The sequence below is a fragment of the Homo sapiens genome, chromosome 9 (assembly GCF_000001405.40).
Source record: "Homo sapiens chromosome 9, GRCh38.p14 Primary Assembly".
NCBI lineage: Eukaryota > Metazoa > Chordata > Mammalia > Primates > Hominidae > Homo > Homo sapiens.
The window spans coordinates 108,360,088-108,381,656 of NC_000009.12; the positions used below are offsets into that span (position 1 = coordinate 108,360,088).

At 40.3% G+C, this 21,569-nt stretch overlaps 1 long non-coding RNA gene across 3 annotated transcripts in view; it reads right to left on the reverse strand.

The window, feature by feature from the left end:
• The window catches only part of LOC105376214 (uncharacterized), a 401,533-nt gene that overhangs the window by 316,843 nt on the left and 63,121 nt on the right, over positions 1-21,569 (reverse strand). For all 3 annotated transcript variants that reach the window (XR_007061722.1, XR_001746882.2, XR_001746881.2), the window contains exon 2: positions 15,255-15,509. This is a non-coding gene — a long non-coding RNA (uncharacterized LOC105376214). The remainder of the gene's footprint in view (positions 1-15,254; positions 15,510-21,569) is intronic.

The window sequence follows — 21,569 nt, forward strand, 5'->3', positions numbered from 1 at the left end:
TTTGGAAATATGTGAGCATCTTGGAATCTCAGTGTTAATGTGTCAGTTTATCTTCAGGAGATAAACAGCATTTTGTGCCAGGCCGAGGCACAATCTCCCCACTCACTAATCAAAATACAATATATTTTGCTGGTTTAAAGTTTCAGCTTTTCTTGCAAATTCAGACAAAGCTCTCCAAAGATCTAGGCAACTAAGAGAATTGTTGTTACTATTCTCACTCTTAATAAGGACATTAATTGCCTTTAAACACAAGTATTTGTGATGGATTCATTAAAAATCATGAATAGTTTAACCCAGAGGACTACTAAAGATCATCTAACTCAATCCCTTCCTTTACAAATGAGGAAACTGAAGCCCAGAAGGATGACTAGCCAGGAATGGCCCAAGGAGTTCATGGCACGGCTGAACTCATAACTCAAGCTCCAGGCTGGCGGCACACAGCTCATGCAGGTATTCTATCTTGAACAGGGAGATTCTTTAGATTACTTTTGTTCCAAAGAATCTGTGATACATACATAACCAAGTCTCACTTAAAAGTCATGCATCCAGTGGTGGGGAATGAATAAACTGAATCTAACTGGGGGAAACGTCATGTATATCCAGAATGAGAACCATTTTAATTTTAAAAGGAGAAATAGATTGTTTCTCCAAAAATATCAATGTCATAAAAGACAAAGAAGGGCTGATAATTACTCCTGACAAAAGGAGACTGCTATTGACTGAATGTTTATATCCTCACCAAATTCATAGGTTGAAATTCCAACTGCAATGTGATATTATCAGAATGCGAGGCCTTTGGAAGGTGATTAGGTCACAAGGGCAGAGCCCTATGAATGAGATTAGTGTCCTTATTAAAAAAGACCTCAGATGAGAGAGGAGAAACTACCAACAAAGTAAACAGACAACCTACAGAATGGGAGAAAATTTTCACAAACTATGCATCTGACAAAGGTCTAATATCCAGCATCTATAAGGAACTTAAAGAAATTTACAAGAAAAACAAAACATAAAAAAGTGAGTAAAGGACATGAACAGACACTTTTCAAAATAAGACATACAAGTGGCCAATAATCATATGAAAAACAGCTCAACATCACTGGTTATTAGAGAAATGCAAATCAAAACCACAATGAGATACCATTTAACACCAGTCAGAATGGCTACTATTAAAAAGTCAGAAAAACATGCAGATACTGGTGAGGTTGTGGAGAAAAAGGAATGCTTACACAGTCTTGGTGGGAGTGTAAATTGGTTCAGCCATTATGGAAGACAGTGTAGTGATTCCTCAAAGACCTAAAGACAATTCAACCTAGTAATTCCCTTACTGGGTGTATACCCAAACGAATAGAAATCATTCTATTATAAAGACACATGCACCTCTATGTTCACTGAAGCACTATTCACAATAGCAAAGACATGGAATTAGCCTAAATGTCCATCAACTGTAGATTGGATAAAGAAAGTGTGATACATATACACCATGGAATACTATGCAGCCACAAAAAGAATGAGATCATATCCTTTGCAGGGACATGGATGGAGCTGGAGGCCATTAACCTTAGCAATCTAACACAGGAACAGAAAACCAAAAACTACATATTCTAACCTATAAGTGGGAGCTAAATGATGAGAATACATGGACACATAGAGGGGAACAACATACACTGGGACCTATTAGAGGGTGGAGGTTGGGAGGAAAGAGAGGGTCAAAAAAATAACTAATGGGTACTAGGCTTAATACCTGGGTGATTGTATTAGTCTGTCCTCATGCTTCCAATAAAGACATACCTGAGACAGGGTAATTTATAAAGGAAGGAGGTTTAATTGGCTCACAGTTTCACCTGACTGGGGAGGCCTCACAATCATGGTGGAAGGCAAAGGAGGAGCAAAGCCATGTCTTACATGGCAGCAGGCAAGATAGCATGTGCAGGGGAACTCCCCTCTATAAAACCATCAGATCTCATAAGACTTATTTACTATCACAAAAACAGCACAGGAAAGACCCACCTCCATGATTCACTTACATCCCGCCCTGTCCTTCCCAAGACATGTGGGAATTATGGGAGCTAAAATTCAAGATGAGATTTGTGTGCGAATACAGCCAAACTGTATCAGTGATGAGATAATCTGTACAACAAACCCCCATGATGCAAGTTTACCTATGTAACAAACCTGCACTTTTACCCCTAAACTTAAAAGTTAAAAAAAAAAAAAAATCCCAGGGAGTTCCCTTGCCCGTTCCAACATGTGAGGACTCAAGAAGAAGGCATCAGCTACAAACCAGGAGACAAACCCTCTCCAAACACCAAATCTGCTGGCACCTTGATCATGGACTTTATAGCCTTCAGAACTGTGGAAAATAAGTTTCTGTAATTTATAAGCCTCCCAGGCTATGGTATTCTGGTAGAGCAGCCTGAATGAGCTATAAGAAACTTAACCAGCATTACAACTAAATACATAACTAGATGAGATGGTGCTAGAGGAGGAAGTGTTATAATGACATTATTGGGTCAACCGATAATTGGAATATAGACCATAAATTGGATAAAAGTACTGTTGTCACTATTACATTTATTGAGGTTGATAACTGTACCTAGGAAATTGACACTGAAATATTTAGGGGTAAATAAATATGGCATGCGACATACTCTTAATTTTGTCAGAAAAAATAGAAAGAAAACAATTAAATAGAGCAACATGTTAACACTAGATGAAACTGGATATAGAGTAGAAGGGTGTTCTTTGCTCTATTTTTGTAACTTTTCTCTGTAAGTCTGACATTATTCCAAATAAAACGTTTTTTAGAAAAACAAGCCATGCAAATGATTACCAACAGCACCACAAAATTACAACCACCCTCTATTCAAGAGCAAAGAAGGGCATTTAAAGAACATCTCCAAAAATATAGTCTTTTAAAGTCATGGCATCCTTTATGCATATTTACCACAAAACCAAAATTTCAGTAAGTACAAGCAATGAGTACGGTCACCCCAGAAGGCCTTCCAGCTTGGTGTTTGTGCCTTGATTTTGGGCTGGCTCAATGCCCTATGGGCCTGCTGTCATTCATCAATTTTGTTATGATCTTTCATAATGAAGAAAAGAAATATAATAACTTGCTATTATCTTAAAAGTTGCAATGAGAAAACTGATACCTCTTTAATGGAGCCAAATAATTAACTCACATATGTTCTCTTAAAAAAAACCACAAAAACTGTAGGTTACATTCTTGAATATGAACAGGAACATGGTCACATCAGGCCACTCTGAGAGACCTCATTCTAATGAGGAAAGACAATAACCATTTCCCTGATGGCTTGAACAATGAGGTTCATGACAGTTTTATTTACACAGTCTTATTTACTCGGGCCCAGAATAGCAATGCCTGCTCATCCCAGGGAAAGCAAATCCTTTTCTCTGAATTTGCCATTTGATTCTGGGCACTGCCTGTCAGCTGTCTGTTTCATGAGTCTATGCCAATACAGATTGTACACAGAGGGCAATTTGCACACAAATCATGTGGCAGTTGTGTTCCCCATGGATAAAAACAAATTCTGGTCACCACTTCATATCTGTGGGTGTTTGCAGAACATGTTAATTGACATTTTCTGCTGATGAAAGGGTAGCTTTACTATTATAAATCATTCATAGATAAATTTATACCAGTAAGTATTGCCCAGTATGTTTGGAGTTCTTGACATGTGCTCTGTTCTGGAGATGGAACTAAGCCCAAAGTCTGGATCCTGCCCTCAGGGAGTTTGTAATTGAGTTGGAATCACAGGAGCACACAAGGCCACTATAGGAAGCCACAAGTCATGCACTATAGTGCTCAGGAGGCTCTATGCACAAAGCAAAAGTTGTTTAGTGTAATAACCCTGACACAGAAGGCACCTGCACAGCAATTTCCAACATATTGATTAGCCAGCTATGAATTGCAACCCAAATGTGCCATGCTCTCTCTTGACTGCTTTGTACATACTATTCCTTCTGCCTAGAACATTCTCTGCCATCCTACCCTCATCACTCAATATCCCCCTTTTCCACCACCAAAATTCCTCCCTTTCTTTGGCTAACTCACAGTTTCTTGCTTGGATGTTATGACTCCTGAAAAGTTATTCTTGACCCTTTTCTCCTTGGTCTAGGTTAGAGGTCCTTCCTGTTTTCTCCCTCTGGGCCAGGCAATGACCCATTATAACCTTTATCACATTGCATAGCAAGGTGGTTATAAGGCAGGGGGGAGGTGGGGAGGGACCTAGAGTCAGGCTGCCTGGGATCAAATCCTGTAACTGCCACCTACAGGCTTTGAGGCCTAAGTCAGTTTAGTTGAGTTCCATAACCCCTCTGTATCTCCTGTGGTTTATTATTTCATTTAGTCTCAAGCCAATCCTCCAAGGGATACTGCCCTCACTTCACAGATGAAGAAACTGAGTCTCAGAGAGGTTACAAAACTGACTCAATGTAACCTACCCAGGGAGGACAGATTCAAAGTCAAGTCTAGAGGATATGAAAGACACCAGTTTTAAGCACCATGCCGAACTTTCTCCATCAAGTGATTCTAAAAGTTCTGCTTATTACCAAGGAGTCTGGGCAGGCATTGGGTCTGCCTTTCTGAAAGAGGCCACGAAGAAGTGTCAAAAGACTGTGCTGTGTCAAAAGTTTGACACAAATTTTCAACTCTGTCAAAACCCCTTCCCTGAATGTGCCTTCCAAGGAGTGAACTTCAAATTGACAATTCTAAGAAACTCTTTGGGAGCCATTAGTTGAGCTTTGACACCACATTTAGTGACACAATATCCAACTGTTTTTCATTTCTATTTTTACTTTTACTAGGAGTAGGAGAGTGTATTGGTTCATTTTCACACTGCTGATAAAGACATACCTGAGACTGGGTAATTTATAAAGAAAAAGAAGTTTAGGCCGGGCGCGGTGGCTCACGCCTGTAATCCCAGCACTTTGGGAGGCCTAGGCGGGCGGATCACGAGGTCAGGAGATCGAGACCACGGTGAAACCCCGTCTCTACTAAAAATACAAAAAGTTAGCCGGGCGCAGTGGCGGGTGCCTGTAGTCCCAGCTACTCGGGAGGCTGAGGCAGGAGAATGGCGTGAACCCGGAAGGCGGAGCTTGCAGTGAGCGGAGATCGCGCCACAGCACTCCAGCCTGGGCGACAGAGCCAGACTCCGTCTCAAAAAAAAAAAAAAAAAAAAAAAAGAAGTTTAATGGACTCACAGTTCCACATGGCTGGGGAGGCCTCACAGTCATGGTGGAAGGTGAAAGGCACATCCTACATGGCAGCAGGCAAGACAGAAAATGAAAGCCAAGCCAAAGGGGAAATCCCTTATAAAACCATCAGATCTTATGAGACTAATTCCGTACGGCGAGAAGAGTATGGGGGAAACCACCCCTATGATTCAATTATCTCCCACGGGGTCTCTCCCACAACTCATGGGAATTATGGGAGCTGCAATTCAAGATGAGATTTGGGTGGGGAGACAGCCAAACCATATCACAGAGAGAAAGAAATGAATTATGCTGGCTCAAGTGGGCCCGGACACCCCTTCCAGCAGGAGCTTGGAATATGTTCCCCCTTTCCTAGAGAACAGAAAGGATGACAGTTACACAGAAATCCATGGGGAGGTGGTTTATAGTTGAAGTAAGAGGCAGTAAAGCACAGAGCATAAAATTATGGGTTTTGGAGTCAAATCTAGGTTTGTCTTGACCCAGCCACTTTCTAGCTGTGTAAGCTTAAAAAGTTATTCAAATTTTTTCTACCACTAGATCCAGAGTGAAGCTAAGTCCTCCAAGTCAAATGGGTGTGTTAGCCAGGTATCAAGGAAGAGGAGGAGAGAGGGCAGCAAGGATGAAGGAGAAGCGTGTGCTAAGATGCGGTGTACCGTCCGTCTGGTCACACCTCTGAACAGTGCTGGAAGAATGCCATGCCTGCCTATCATGATGACACCCACTTCTATTTCAAAAGTTGACCCCAAATCCTTCTCTGGTAAACATACTGCTGTAACTTCATCTCTACTATTTGTTTAGAGGTTTTGAGTACTAAATTTTGATGGTGAGGTTAAATTATCCTTTAAAAATAGTTTCAAGATGACTTTACTTGTGCAGCAACTGAAAGGGAAGAGTTGTTTTAGTGTTGTAAGCTTTCTAATAAATTAAGGTCTTCTTTTAAAAGACTTTCTTCTATCCATAATCTATCTCCAGAGATCTAAATCTTAATAATATTGATTTTCTATATTTGTGGAATCATTGTTACTCACTGCTGAGGAAAAGAGAAGCAATGCAAATGCCTTGGTTGGTTTGGCCAAATAATCTCATTTTCTGAAATTTGGTTAGTAGGTCTTATAGGACCAACACATTGCTCAGTACCTAATCGGCAATGGTCATGAGAGAGGGACTATAAAGTGAAGCTTCCGGGAATGGAGTCAAATAAATGGTGGGCATGGACCAATGGGAGAGCATTGCTAAGGAGGAACTTATTGAGATATACCTGAAGGCCACTGGCAGACAGAATTCAAGCGTTGAATCCCTGCTCAATTGCTATGGTATTGACCCGGCTCCTGAATGTGACGGGAGCCTTTGAGTAGCTGGCACATTCCCCTAAGCCTGTGTCAGTGTCTTTAGTAAAAGTGTCACTTGATACTCCCGGGAAGGTAGGTAAGATGGGGCAATTTGATAAATTCTGACTTGATCTATTCTCCCACAGCATCCATTGAGTAAGTAAAAGTAATAACCTGAGTAGCAAAGCATTTTATTTTTCCTTAATTGCCTATATATTAGCACCAACAAGGTTACAGCATGTACAGTGCTAATAAACATTGATATGGTTTGGCTCTGTGTCGCCACCCAAATCTCATATCAAATTGTAATCTTCAGTGTTGGAGGAAGGGCCTGGTGGAAGGTGATTGGATCATGAGGGCAGACTTCTCTCTTGCTGTTATGACAGTGAGTGAGTTCTCATGAGACTTGGTTGTTTAAAAGTGTCTAGCACATCCCCCTTTGCTCTTTCTCTCCTGCTCAGCCATGTGAATTTGTATCTGCTTCCCCTTCACCTTCTTCCATGATTATAAGATTCCTGAGGCCTCCCCAGCCATGCTCCCTGTACAGCCTGTGGAACTGTGAGTCAATTAAACCTATTTTATTTATAAATCACCCAGTCTCAGGTTCCTTCTAGCAATGCAAGTACCAACTAATACAAGCATGGAAACATTTTCCTTCTTTTTAATTGTGATATAGAAATTTGTTGTGTAAGATATTTTAAATTATTAGGTAACCAGCCAAATTCCCAAATATTGCTGAGACAACTCTTTTTCTATTCTTTAATACATACATCCTTGCACAATTTCCTGTCACTTTTCTACCTCAAGTTGTCCCTACAAAAAGTTTCATCAAGATCAATGCACATAGTTTCAAGTATCTGTCAAGTGTCTATTGACTTGGGCTCACTTTTGAAATGATTTGTCTTTTCTGACCACATCATGTTAATGCATAATTGTCAAAGTGTTTCTCACACAGGCTCAGCTCTGAGCTTAGAAGCTCTGGACTCTGCCTTGCTTATGAGCTACAGCACCAGCACCTTTCAAGGACAAGGCCAGGGATGTTGCATGGCCTATATTTTGGGTCAGACCCACGCAGATACAGTTTTGAATTTGATAACAATATTTTTTTCAGAGACAACTTTATTTCTCATGGCAAAAGGAGTAGCCACAATTTCATGTTGGTCTGTATCTGTTGGTTCGCCATGCCCACTCCTCCAAGTCTCGTGAGAGTGACAGAGAGAGGCCTTGGGCATGCCTGAGCATGCTACGGGTTGCATTATAGGAAGGCAACACTGAAATTAAAGGATTCACTGCTTTTATAGTCAGTGGAAGCAAGCCTGTGCCTTGTCTGGGGTAAAATGCTGTGCTAGTTCATTTGTGTTGCTATGAAGGAACACCTGAGGCGACGTAATTTAATTTTTTTTAAAGGTTTATCTGGCTCATAGTTCTGCAGGTCGTACAAAAAGCATGGCACTAGTATCTGCTTCTGGTAAGGGCCTCAGGAAGCTTCCATTCATGGTGGAACATGAAGGGGATGTGCAGAGATCACATGGCTAGAAAGGAAGCAAGTTTCAAGGGTGCCACACTCTTTTTAACAACAAGTTCTTGGGGGAAGTTTTATGGGAACTAGAGCAAGAACTCCCTCTTTGCTATGAGGATGGCACCAAGCCATTTAGGAGAGATCTGCCCCACAACCCAAATACCTCCTAATAGGCTCCACCTAAAGTATTGGGGATCAAATTTCAACATGAGGTTTGAGGGGACGTCCATTCTCAAGATTTATGACTGCACACACGACTCGAAGAAATGGCCGAGGTAAAGAGTGGTCAGGCCCTTGCACTGTTGACATGCCCAGTAAAAATATGTAGGGAGACTCAGGGACATGGTAGATTGCTTCTGCCAGCACCAGAGGTCTTGATGCTTTCTTGTCCTCTTTAACTCCAATTTCACTCCTTCACTCTCTATTGAAACCATTCTCACACAGATGTCTTGATGCCTTCCTGTCCTCTTTAACTCCAATTTCATTCCTTCACTCTCTGTTGAAACCACTCTCACACAGATTTCTTCTAGCTGTTTCTCTGTTTTTTGTTTTTTGGTTTTTGTTTTTTTTTTTTTTTTTAATTTCAATAGTTTTTGGGGAACTGGTAGTGTTCACTTACATGGATAAGTTATTTAGCAGTGATTTCTGAGATTTTGCCGCACCCATCACCAAAGCAGTGTACCCTGTACCCAATGTGTAGTCTTTTATCTCTCACCCCCTCCCATCCTTAGTCCACTGTATCAGTCTTATGCCTTTGCACGCTCATAGCTTAGCTCCCACTTACAAGTGAGAACATACAATGTTTGGTTTTCCATTCCTGAGTTATTTCACTTAGAATAATTGTCTCCAACTCAGTTCAGGTTGTGGTGAATGCCATTATTTCATTTCTTTTTATGACTGAAGGAGTATTCCGAGCATTCCATAGTACATATACACCACATTTTCTTTATCCACTCATCGGATGATGGGCATTTAGCCTGGTTTTATATTTTTTGCAATTGCAAATTGTGCTGCTAGAAACATGTGTGTGCAAGTGTCTTTTTCATATAATGATTTATTTTCCTCTGGGTAGGTATTGAGTAGTAGGATTGCTGGATCAAATGGTAGTTCTACTTTTAGCTCTTTAAGGAGTCTCCACACTGTTTTTCATAGTAATTTTACTAGTTTACATTCCCACCAGCAGTGTAAAAGTGTTCCCTTTTCACCACATCCACACCAACATCTTTTTTTTTTTTCATTTTTAAATTATGGCCATTCTTGTAGGAGTAAGGTAGTATTGCACTGTGGGTTTGATTTGCATTTCCCTCATAATTCGTGATGTTTAGCATTTTTTCATATGTTTGTTAGCCATTTGTATATCTTATTTTGAGAATTGTATATTCAAGTCCTTAGCCCACTTTTTGATGGGATTATTTGTTTTTTCCTTGCTGATTCATTTGCATTTCTTGTAGATTCTGGATATTAGTCCTTCGTCAGATGCACAGTTTGCAAAGATTTTCTCCCACTCTGTAGGTTGTCTGTTTACTCTGCTATTTCTTTTGCAGTGCAAAAGCATTTTTATTTAATCAAGTCCCATCTATTTTCATTGTTTTTGTTGCATTTGCTTTTGGATTCTTGGTCCTGAAGTCTTTGCCTAAGTCAACGTCTAGAAGAGATTTTCCGATGTTATCTTGTAAAATTTTTATGGTGCTAGGTCTTAGATTTAAGTCCTTGATCCATCATAAGTTGATTTTTGTATAAGGTGAAAGATGAGGATCCAGTCGCATCTTTCTACATCTGGCCTGCAAATTCTCCCAGTACCATTTGTTAAATAGGGCGTCCTTTCCCCACTATATGTTTTTGTTTGCTTTGCTGATGATCAGTTGGCTCTAAGTATTTGGCTTTACTTCTGGGTTCACTATTCTGTTCCATTGGTCCACAAGCCTGTATATACGCCAGTACCATGCTGCTTGGCTGACTATAGTGTTATAGTATAGTTTGAAGTCAGGTAATGTGATGCCTCCAGATTTGTCCTTTTTGCTTAGTCTGGCTTTGACTATGTGGCTTTTTGGTTCCATATGAATTTTAGCATAGTTTTTTTCTAGTTCTCTGAAGAATGATAACAGTATTTTGATAAGAATTGCACTGAATTTTATAGATTGCTTTTGGCAGTATAGTCATTTTTTACAATATTGATTCTACCCATTCATGAGCATAGGATGTGTTTCCATTTGTTTGTGTTGTCTATGATTTTTTTCCAGCAATGTTTTGCAGTCTTCTTTGTAGAGACCTTTCACCTCCTTGGTTAGGTATATTTCTAAGTATTGTGTTGTGTTGTGTTGTGTTGTGTTGTATTTATTTATTTCCATATCTGCTATAAAAGGGGTTGAGTTCTTGATTTGATTCTCAACTTGATCACTGTTGGTGTACATCAATGCTACTGATTTGTGTACATTGATTTTGTGTCCTGAAACTTTACTGAATTCATTTATCAGATCTAAGAGCTTTTTAGATGAGTCTTTCAGGTTTTTCTAGGTATACAATCATATCATCAGTGAACAGTGACAGTTTTACTTCCTCTTTACTGATTTGGATGCCCTTTATTTTTTTCTCTTGTCTGATTGTTTTGGCTAGGACTTCCAGTACTATGCTGAATAGAAGTGGTAAAAGTGGGAATCTTTTTCTTGTTCCAGTTCTCAGGAGGAATGCTTTCAACTTTCCCCCATTCAGTATAATGTTGGCTGTGGGTTTGTCATAGATGGCTTTTATTACCTTAAGGTATGTCCCCTCTATGCCAATTTTTTAATCATAAAGGGATGCTGGATTTTGTCAAATGCTTTTCCTGTATCTATTGAGATGATCATGTGATTTTTGGTTTCAATTATGTTTATGTGGTGTATCACATTTGTTGACTTGCGTATGTTAAACCATCCCTGCATCCCTGATATGAAACCCACTTGGTCATGGTGGATTATCTTTTCGATACACTGTTGGATTCAGTAAGCTAGTATTTTGTTGAGAATTTTTGCATCTATGTTCATCAGGGATACTGGTTTGCAGTTTTCTTTTTTTGTTATGTCCTTTCGTGGTTTTGGTATTAGGATGATACTGGCTTCATAAAATGATTTAGGGAGGATCCCCTCTTTATCTTTTGGAATAGTTTCAGTAGGATACCAATTCTTCCTTGAATGTCTGATAGAATTCAGCTGTGAATCCATCTGGTCCTAAACTTAGTTTTGTTGGCATTTTTTTATTAGTGTTTCAGTCTTGCTGCGTGTTATTAGTCTGCTCAGAGTTTCTATTTCCTTTTGGTTTAATCTAGGAGTGTTGTATATTTCCAGGAATTTAGCCATCTCCTTTAGGTTTTCTAGTTTGTGCTCATAAAGGTGTTCATAGTAGCCTTGAATGATCTTTTGTGTTTCTGTAGTGTCGGTTGTAGTATCTGTCATTTCATTTCTAACTGAACTTATTCAGATCTTCTCTCTTCTTGGTTAATCTTGCTAATGATCTATCGATTTTGCTTATCTTTTCAAAGAATCAGCTTTTTGTTTTATCTTTTGTATTTTTTGTTTGTTTGTTTCAATTTCATTTAGTTCTGCTTTGGTCTTTGTTATTTCTTTTCTTCTGCTGGGTTTGGGTTTGGTTTGTTCTTGTTTCTCTACTTCCTTGAGGTGTGAGCTTAGATTGTCTACAGGTGCTCTTTCAGGCTTTTTGATGTAGGCATTTCATGCTATGAACTCTCCTCTTAGTTCCACTTTTGCTGTATCCCAGAGGTTTTGATACATTTTGTCACTATAATCATTCAGTTCAAAAAATGTTCTAATATTCATCTTGATTTTATTGTTGATCTAAAGATCATTCAGAAGTAGATTATTTAATTTCCATGTATTTGTGTAGTTTTGAGGGTTCCTTTTGCAGTTAATTTTCAATTTTATTCCACTGTGGCCTGAGAGAGTACTTGATATGATTTTGATTTTAAAAATTTATTGAGGCTTGTTTTGTGGCCTATCGTATAGTCTATCTTGAAGAATGTGCCATGTGCCCATGAAAAGAATGTATATTCTGTAGTTGTTGTGTAGAATGTTCTGTAAATATCTGTTAAGTCCATTTGTTCTAGGGTATAGTTTAAGTCCATTGTTTCTTTGTTGACTTTCTGTCTGGATGACCTGTCTAGTGCTATCAGTGGAGTATTAAAGTTCTCCACTACTACTGTGTTGTCTCCTGTCTCATTTATTAGGTCTAGTAGTCATTGTTTTAAAAATTTGGGAGCTCCAATGTTAGGTGCATATATATTTAGGATTGTGCTATTTTGCTGTTGGACTAATTCTTTTATCATTATATAATGTCCCTCTTTGTCTTTTTTAACTGTTGTTGCTTTAAAGTCTGTTTTGTCTGATACAAAAATAGCTACTTCTGCTTGCTTTTGGTTTCCATTTGCATGGAATATCTTTTTCCATCCCTTTACCTTAAGTTTATGTGAGTAGTTATGTGTTAGGTGAGTCTCCTGAAGAAAGCAGATACTTGGTTGGTGGATTTTTATCCATTCTGCCATTCAGTATATTCTAAGTGGAGCATTTAGGCCATTTACATGATACATTAGTATTGAGATATGAGCTACTGTTCTATTCATTTAGTTGTTGCCTGAAGACCTTGTGGGTTTTGCTTTTTTTTTATTATGTTATTGTTTATAGGCCCTGTGAGATTTATGCTTTAAGGAGGTTCTATTTTGGTGTATATTTTGAGGAACCATTTCAAGATTTAGACTCCTTTTAGCAGTTCTTGTAGTGTTGGCTTGGTACTGGTGAGTTCTCTCAGCATTTGTTTGTCTGAAAAAGACTTTATCACTCCTTCACTTATTAAGCTTAGTTTCGCTGGATACAAAATTCTCAGCTAATAATTATTTTGTTTAAGGACATCAAAGATAGGACCCCAATACCTTCTGGCTTGTAGGGTTTCTGCTGAGAAATCTGCTGTTAATTTGATAGGTTTTCATTTATAGGTTACTTGATGCTTTTGCTTCATAGCTCTTAAGATTCTTTACTTTGTCTTGATTTAGATAACCTAATTACCATGTGCCTAGGTGATGATGATCTTTTTGTGATGAATTCCCAGGTATTCTTTGGGCTTCTTGTATTTGGATGTCTAGATCTCCAGCAAAGCCAGGGAAGCTTTTCTCGATTATTCCCTCAAAGAATTTTTCCAAACTTTTAGATTTCTCTTCTTCCTCAGGAACACCAGTTATTCTTATGTTTGGTGGTTTAGCATAATCCCAAACTTCTTGGAGGCTTTATTTTTTTAAAATTCTTTTTTCTTTGTCTTTGTTGGATTGGGTTAATTTGAAAGCCTTGTCTTTAAGCTCTGAAGTTCTTTCTTCTACTTGAGTCTATTGTTGAAATTTTCTTGCATATTTTGCATTTCTTTAAGTGTGTTTTTCATTTCCAGAAGTTGTAATTGTTTTTTCATTATAATATCTCTTTCTCTGGAGACGTTTTAATGCATATCTTGAATTTTTTTTTTAATTTAAGTTGTTTTTCATCTTTCTCTGGTATCTCCCTAAGTAGCTTAATAATCAACCTTCTGAATTCTTTAACTGGCAATTCAGAGATTTCTTCTTGGTTTGGATCCATTCCTGGAGAGCTAGTGTTATCTTTTAGGGGCGTTATAGAAACTTGTTTAGTCATATTGCTGGAATTACTTTTCTGATCCCTTCTCATTTGGGTAGACTGTTTCAGTAGAAAGATCTAGAACTCAAGGGCTGCTGTTCAGATTATTTTGTCCCACGGGGTGATCCCTTGATGTGGTGCTCTTCTGCTTCCCGTAGGGATGGGGCTTCCTGAGAGCCAGACTGCAGTGACTGTTATTGCTCTTCTGGGTCTAGCCACTCAATGAGGCTAGCAGGCTCTGGGCTGGTACTAGGGAATGTCTGCAAAGAGTCCTGTGATGTGGTTTGTCTTCAGGCCTTCCAGCCATGGATACCAGCACCTGCTCCAGTGGAGGTGGCAGGGGCATAAAGTGGACTCTGTGGGAGTCCTTGGTTGTAGTTTTGTTTAGCATGCTGTTTTTCTCGAATGCTGGTTATGCTAGCAGTGATGCTGTCACAAGGACAGACTCAGGACCTCTGGTTAGCCAGGGTGGTGCAGGTGGTGGAATTAGCTGTGATTTTCTCTTCTTTAGAGCAGGGTTGGTCTGGTATGAGTTGCTTTAATGGCTTAAGTTGGTTGGCCTCCAGCCAGGAGGTGGCATTTTCAAGACAGCACCAGCTGCAGTAGTAGAAGGGGCATATACACTTGCCCTACATTGGCCAGGATAAGTACTCGGGTTTCTCAGGTGATGGGTGGGGCCATAGAGCTCTCAAGAGCTTATGTCTTTTGTCTTTGGCTACCAGGGCAGGCAGAGAAAAATCATCAGGTGGGGGCAGAATTAGGTGGGTCTGAGCTCACACTATCCTTGGGCAGGGCTTGCTGTGGCTACTGTGGGGAATAGGGGTGGTTCTCAGGACAATACAGTTATGTTCTCAGGGTGATTTTGGCTGCCTCTGCTGCATCATACAGGTCACCAGGGAACTAGGGGAAGGCTGGCAGTGATAGGCCTCACCCAGCTCTCATGCAGCAAGGCCAGTCTCACTCCCTCCATGCCTCACTAACAGCACCAAGTTTACATCCAGGCAGCTGGGGAGCAGGGCTGAGATCTTGCCCCAGGCTACAAGTCTTCCTGTTGAGAAAGTAAGCATGACTCTAAGACCTCACCCCTCACCCCCACCCCTCCACCCACAACCTTGGCTGCAGCTTCTGCACTCATATCTGCACTTCCTATTTGTGCCCCCATTTCCCCTCTCCCCACTGCTGCATTCTGCTCAGAAAAATTTGTGCTCAGTCAAAATTATTACAAAAATTCCACTGGAAGCTTTCTTCACCCCATGTCCCCTCCTGAATTCCACTAGCTGCCTTTCCCCAAGGACCTCTGGTGAGATAAAGCCAGGAATGGCTTTTCTGGACTCAAGCTGGAGATCGGGAGTGCCTATAGGGCTCTTCCCACTGCTTCTTCTACGTTTATATTTCACCCAGCTCCTTAAATCCTTTTCAACTCTAGGTATGGTTAAATCCTTCTCCCATGACCTGGATTTGCAGGTTCCCCAGTGGTAATGAGTGTTCAGAGGCAGACCTTTCCCCGCATCTCACACTTTGAGAACTCACAGTTTTTCAGCTGTCTCATGGAGTTTGCACTGGCAAGCCACTTTTTTCAAAGGGTCTGTGAATTCTTTTGGTTTTTCTGGTATGTTCCTGAGGTAGTTCTTGGAGCAAAAATTCACAATGTGAGTCTCCACACACTGTTCAGTTCATCCAAGTGGGAGCTGCACTTTAGTCCTGTCTCCTCTCTGCCAACTTTTCCTAAATATTCCAAAGTACTCCAATTTGACAAGAAGTTTTATAGCCATTTTCAAGAGACACCTGTAAAGGAAAAAGAGGCAGAAAAGTAATTTTATTCATAGATATATTTTTAGGTTAATAAAATTTGTTTATACCTTTTATCCTCCTCATCATGAACTGTTAGGGCACAGAAATTGTGCTTAGAGATACACAGAACTTGTATTCATAACACTATTTACATTTTTACTGTAAAAGCAGTAACAATAAGGAAATTTTAAAGGAGAAAAAGTATCTCTAATCCCAACACTATATCCCTCATCCTATCTTAGTTTATATAATTGCAATCATAGAACACATAAATTTTTATCATCTGCTGTTTCACTTAATTCTGAGTTGTAAACATTTTCCAAGTTGATATATAATTTTTATTTTTATTACATTTTTGGTACAAATCGACAATTTTTCTGGCTGCAGAGTTCATCAAATACTGCAACATAGTCCTCTAGTAATTTAAATACTCGTTTGTTTTCAATTTTGTGTTATTTCAAAAAAGCTGCTGTAGATATCATGTAAACATATTTATTTTCTTAAAATAAATGCCCAGAACCAAGATTTGTTACATAAAGGTAAGAACATTTTGTGGCCTTTGACCCAAACCATTTATTGGCAGCTCTGGATCAGCCCTTACTGTAAGCTTTGCCAGTTCTCCTCTCCTCAATCTGAGGCATGACTTCTTTGGGCTCCTAAAGTCCTGCTGGCTCTCCTGCTCCCTATCCACTCCCAGGCCCAGCCCAGGCAAATGAAGAATGCTGACCAGCAGATCCCAGTCAACTTCACACTTCATTACTTTATCTCTGCCCTTCTTCCTTTCAAAAGAAATGCTACTTCTTGTTATGAGTGGGGTGTGTATGAGCCTCAGTTGTCTGGGGTATGCTTTTAAAAATTCATAACCATGGCTACCTAACAAGTTATCTAAACTATGGGTGTGAGTGATGTACCCACTGGGCTAATGTTACTCCACCCATATTGAACAGGGCTTGGTGGAGAGCAAAAAAGAGAAATATGGGAAAGTTCTTTCTAAATAGCAATGGTACATGCAGAAAATGGAATTACTATGATGTGCCCTTGAATTTCCCTGTATGTATGTGGTATCTTGAAAAATATATATTTAGCCTTTGTCCCAGGTTCATAACACAGAGCTCCTAAAACCCTAGAAATTTCCTGAGTTATAAGATTAATAGGCATTTCTCTTTTTTTATTCATAAAAAAGCCCATTAGACCATACTGAAGTTTATGCTCATGAGGTGACTCTTGGTGGGCCCCTAGATAGCATCAGGATGGGGACTGGGCACTGGGAAGACCATGCCATGACCAGGGGGCTGGAACTGCAGCCCCACTCACTGGCCTCCTGGAAGGGGAGAGAGGACTGGAGAATGAGTGCAATCACCAGCTGCCAATGATTTAATCAATCATGCCTACATTAAAAAAAACTCTAAGTAACAGGGTTGAGGGAGATTCCAGTGCTGGGAGGGTGGAACACCCAGAGAGGTCATGGAGGCTCCGACTTCCTGAGTTATGTTGATGAAAAGAGTCAAACTCTATAACACATTTCAAGAGATTTATTCTGAGCCAAATATGAGTGACCAATGGCCTGTGACATAGCTCTCAGGAGAGTCTCAGAACATGATGCCCAAAGCGGTCAGGGCATAGTCATAGCTTTATACATTTTAGGGAGATATGAGACATCATGACATCAATCAATACATGTAAGACACATTGGTTCAGTCTAGAAAGGTGGGACAACTTAAAGGCAGGGGGCCTTCCAGGTTATAAGTAGATTGAAAATTTTTCTGCTTGGCAATTGGTTAAAACAGTTATTTTCAACAGAAAGGAATGTCTGAGTTACTGTAAGTGGTTGTGGAGATCAAAGTCTTCTCATGCAGATGAAGCCTCCAGGTAGCAGGCTTCAGAGAGAATAGGTTGTAAATGTTTCTTATCAGACATAAGGTCGGTGTTGATGTCAAATGCTGGTTGACTTTTCCTGAACTCCAAAAAGGAGGATGGGATAATGAAACATGCCTGACCACCTCTTCCCATCATGGCCCGAACCAGTTTTTCAGGTTAACTTTGGAGTGCCCTGGCCGATAGGAAGGGTTCATTTAGATGGTTGGGGAGCCTTAGAATTTTATTTTTGTTTTACAGCTGTTTGGCTGTTCCTAAGTTTTATCCTTTATAATAAACACTAACAGCAAATAAAGTGCTTTCCCGTGTTCTATTACTTGTAAAAGTGAATTATTGAACCTGAGGGGGATCTTAAAAGCACCAAAATATGCAGTCCACTAGGCAGAAGTGGGAGTGTCCTGGAAACCCCATTTCCATCTGGCATCTGAAAGGGGAGCAGTCTTGGGGGACCAAGCGCTTTGATTTGTAGGATCTGACACTAACTTCAGGTAGAGTAGTGTTGAAAAACATGCCACATATTTGGTCCTGAGGGAAAGAATCTCTCAACATGTTATTCCATTTTCTAAATTCCTAGCAATCCTAGGCAATTTTCCCCAGGCTGGTATTTGTTGAAAGTAGTTTTCCATTACAACTTTGATAAAAAACAAATTCCATAATCATTCCAAAAAAATTGGCTCAGTAATGTAGAGCAGTTCTTCTCAAACTTACATGTGCATATGACTTATTTGGAGGATCTTGTTATAATGCAGATTCTGCAAAGCCCTTACTACTCAAAGCGTGACCCATGGATCAGCAGCATCAGCATCGTGTGGGAGAATCTCTGTCCTAGACCTACTAAACCAGAGTCTTCCTCTTAACAAGATCCCAAGGTGATTCATATGCATAGCAAAGTTTGGGAAAATCCGGTCTGAGCCTCAGTTTTCTTGCCCCTAAATGCTTTCCACCTGGAACACAGTACATATGCAATGAGTAGAAGCTACTATAGAAATTGCTCCAGGTTCAGTGCTCAGATTAAGATGAGCATTACTTATAAGCGAACAAAAAGTAACTGTTCGTGGGTTTGAGGTTTATGATCAGGTACAGGGATGGATTGTAAACTTGGTGCTCTGTGTAGGCTCTGCAGATGCAGCACAGGAGGACTCAAACTGCAAAGGTAGCTGCTTGGCTCTAGGGAAGAAGGGATATCCAGGAAGTTCTATTAAGCCGAACATAAAGAATATCCTTCTTAGGAGCACCCTCAGAACCTATTAGGTGAAATGGGGCTGCAGCCATAATGCCTGAGACATCAGCTTATAATCTCGGTCTCCAGGAAGGTAGAGCTGGGCAGAGGCTGGCTTGAGCCTCATGTTTGTCCCTCCAGAACGGGCCCTACACCCAGGAGCTGGCCAGTGTCAAGCATATGCTCGCCACTCAACCTCTCTCAGCCACAGCTCAGGACTTCCAGAAGCAACTGTCTAATCATGACCCCCTCTTTATTTTCATTACGATAATCTTTTCAGCAAAATACTTCTTCAGAGTTAAATCTAAAAAGTAAATGGCACAGTTAACTGTAATCTAAGGCTTTAGGACTCTAGCCTTAGTCTAACCACTTATGCACACAACTTGGGCCATGCAACCATAGGCTTAGCTTCACAAAATAATTGGAGACCCATCCAGATTTGAGGCAAGGGGGGTTTAAGCAGGTCCTGCTCAAAAACAGGAAACATCAAATATCCTTTGTCCTTTCCAAGCTCTGATTTTGCTACGATCTGAATGTTTGTGTCTGTACAAAATTCATATGTTGAAATCCTAACATCCAAGGGTATGGTATTAAGAGGTGGAGACTTTTGGGAGGCAACTAATACCTTCTGAATAGGATTAGTGCCCTTATAAAATAGGTCCAAGGGAGCTCATTAGCCCCTTCCACCACGTGAGGCCACAGTGAGAAAACACCATCTATGAACCCAAAAGTGGGCCCTCACCAGACATAGAACTGCCAGTGCCCTGATCTTAGACTTCCCAGGCTCCAGAACCGTGAGACATAAATTCCTGTTGTTTACAAGCCACCCAGTCTACTCTGTTATCCCTGCCTGAACAGACTAAGAGACTTTTGAATCTGTTGTGATGTTGGAGTTCATGAAACATGGTTGCAAATGCTTGCTCTGCCTATTTCTAACTGTTTATCCTGTGGAAAGTTCCTTCACCATTTTATAACTTGTTTGTCTCACCTAATAAAACAAGGACAACAATAGTTATTCCAAAAGACTATTGGAAGAGTTAAAGAGAAAGCATAATTAGAGTAGTAGCTAACACTTATTCAGGGTATAAAATGAGCCAAGTTCTGTACACAGCTCTTTACACTGATTCATCCATTCATTTGGTGCATATTCATTGAATGCCTACCATGTACTGGGCCTAGTTTTCTGGGGTCTAGAATAATAATAACAATGGTTAGCATTATGAAGTGTTTACTATGTGACAGGCACATTCTAAACAAGTTGTTTCTAAACAGTTCACATTTCTAACAGGTTAAATTTTCACAATTGCTCATGTGAATTATTTTGTTTAATCGTCACAATTATCTAATGAAGTAATATTTTCCCCATTTTTACAAATGAGGAAACTGAGGTATAAATGTAAGTAATTTGTGCAAAGTCACCCTGCTAGTCTATGGGGTCCCCAGAGATCAGACTGTAAAATATTGGGCTATACTGTGTGATATTTGAGGTTAAACTCTAAGAAATTGCCAATATCCCACCACTTTTGACCTATACAAACAATTTTATGTTTTTCCTAATATTTTTAAGGAGAATTTGTAGAGCCTGAGACATAAGCAGCCTGCAGTGAAACATCTTTTACCTTCTGATTTTTTGTTTTGTTTTGTTTTGCTTTGCTTTTTGCTTTGGACTGCCTTTCTGCCATATTCCCCAGACCCAATCTTGACTTCATGACCTAAATCCTGTATCAGGCCTCTGTCTTGCTTTATGTCTTAGAGTTGTGTCCTGAGATAGGCTTCTACCTTCCTCCAGCCCATTAGACCTCTTGACTCAGCCCCCAGGGTTTAGAGTCCCTGCACCTTGCATTAATACTAAAACCATGGTAATACTAACATGAAAAACTAAAAAACACTGAGGGCTTACTCTGCAGTGGGCCCTGTTCCAAGAATTTCACATGCAACTATACATTTAATCCTCTCAACAATTATGTCAGGTAACTACTATTGCTTTCCTCTCTTTACAGATAGAGAAAATGAAGTATTCAGTAGTTAGATGCTTTGACCAAATTTACTGCCTTCAGAGAGATCTTCCTTGTCCAGCTCTATTTCCAGACATCACCTGCTTCCGGATTCCCATCCACCAATGTGGACTTCCGTGTCTCTACGCACTAGCTGTTCCCATGCCCTCTTCCCATTGTTGCCTTACCCCTTCCATATGTCACTCTGCTGGCCAGCGTGAGCATGCTTGAGAACCATCCCCAGCTCCTGCCTCACCCACTTGGCCAGTCTAGGGCACAGTCCAGACCCATCACCATCAAACTAGGCCTCAAGCAGTTACCCACACCTGCCCAGCCTTGTCCTAAGCAACTCCTCAGGACTTGGAGTTTTTATGGCTTTCACAGATGAAAGCTAACATGCAAAATGTTCAAAAGGCTTCAGGAAATAAAAGAGGTAAACAAACTATTAAAAAGACGACTCAACTGTGCACGTGCACCCTAAATAATTTATAGTACAATCGCTTCCTAGGGAAAATGAAAGCATTTTTAATCTTCTCATTCATCCTTTCATTCCAAAGAAATGTACTGAGGATCTACTCCATACCAAAACCCAGGCCCCAAACTAAGTAATGGCTGTCCTTTAGGAATTTCCAGCCAGGAGTAAGGAGGCAGAATAGTGAATAAAGCATTCCAACCTAGTGTGTTAGGTGTTTTAATAGGAAGGGACATCAAGTACCCGGAGGCCCAAGAGAAGAAGTAAATGACTTCATGGGGTGCCAAAGGGGATTTCTCCAGGGGCTGGACCTTGAAGATGAAAAGGGGCCCACCAAGTAGGTAAGAGAGAAGAGCATTTTAGGCATTGGAGGGGAGGAACAGTCCAGGGAGAGGGAACAGTATGAGCTAGGGTGGGGAGGTGTGTGGGAGCCAGAGTGATCTAGGTAATATGGTGAGGTCAGAACCTACAACCAGCCAAGGGAGAGCTGGAAA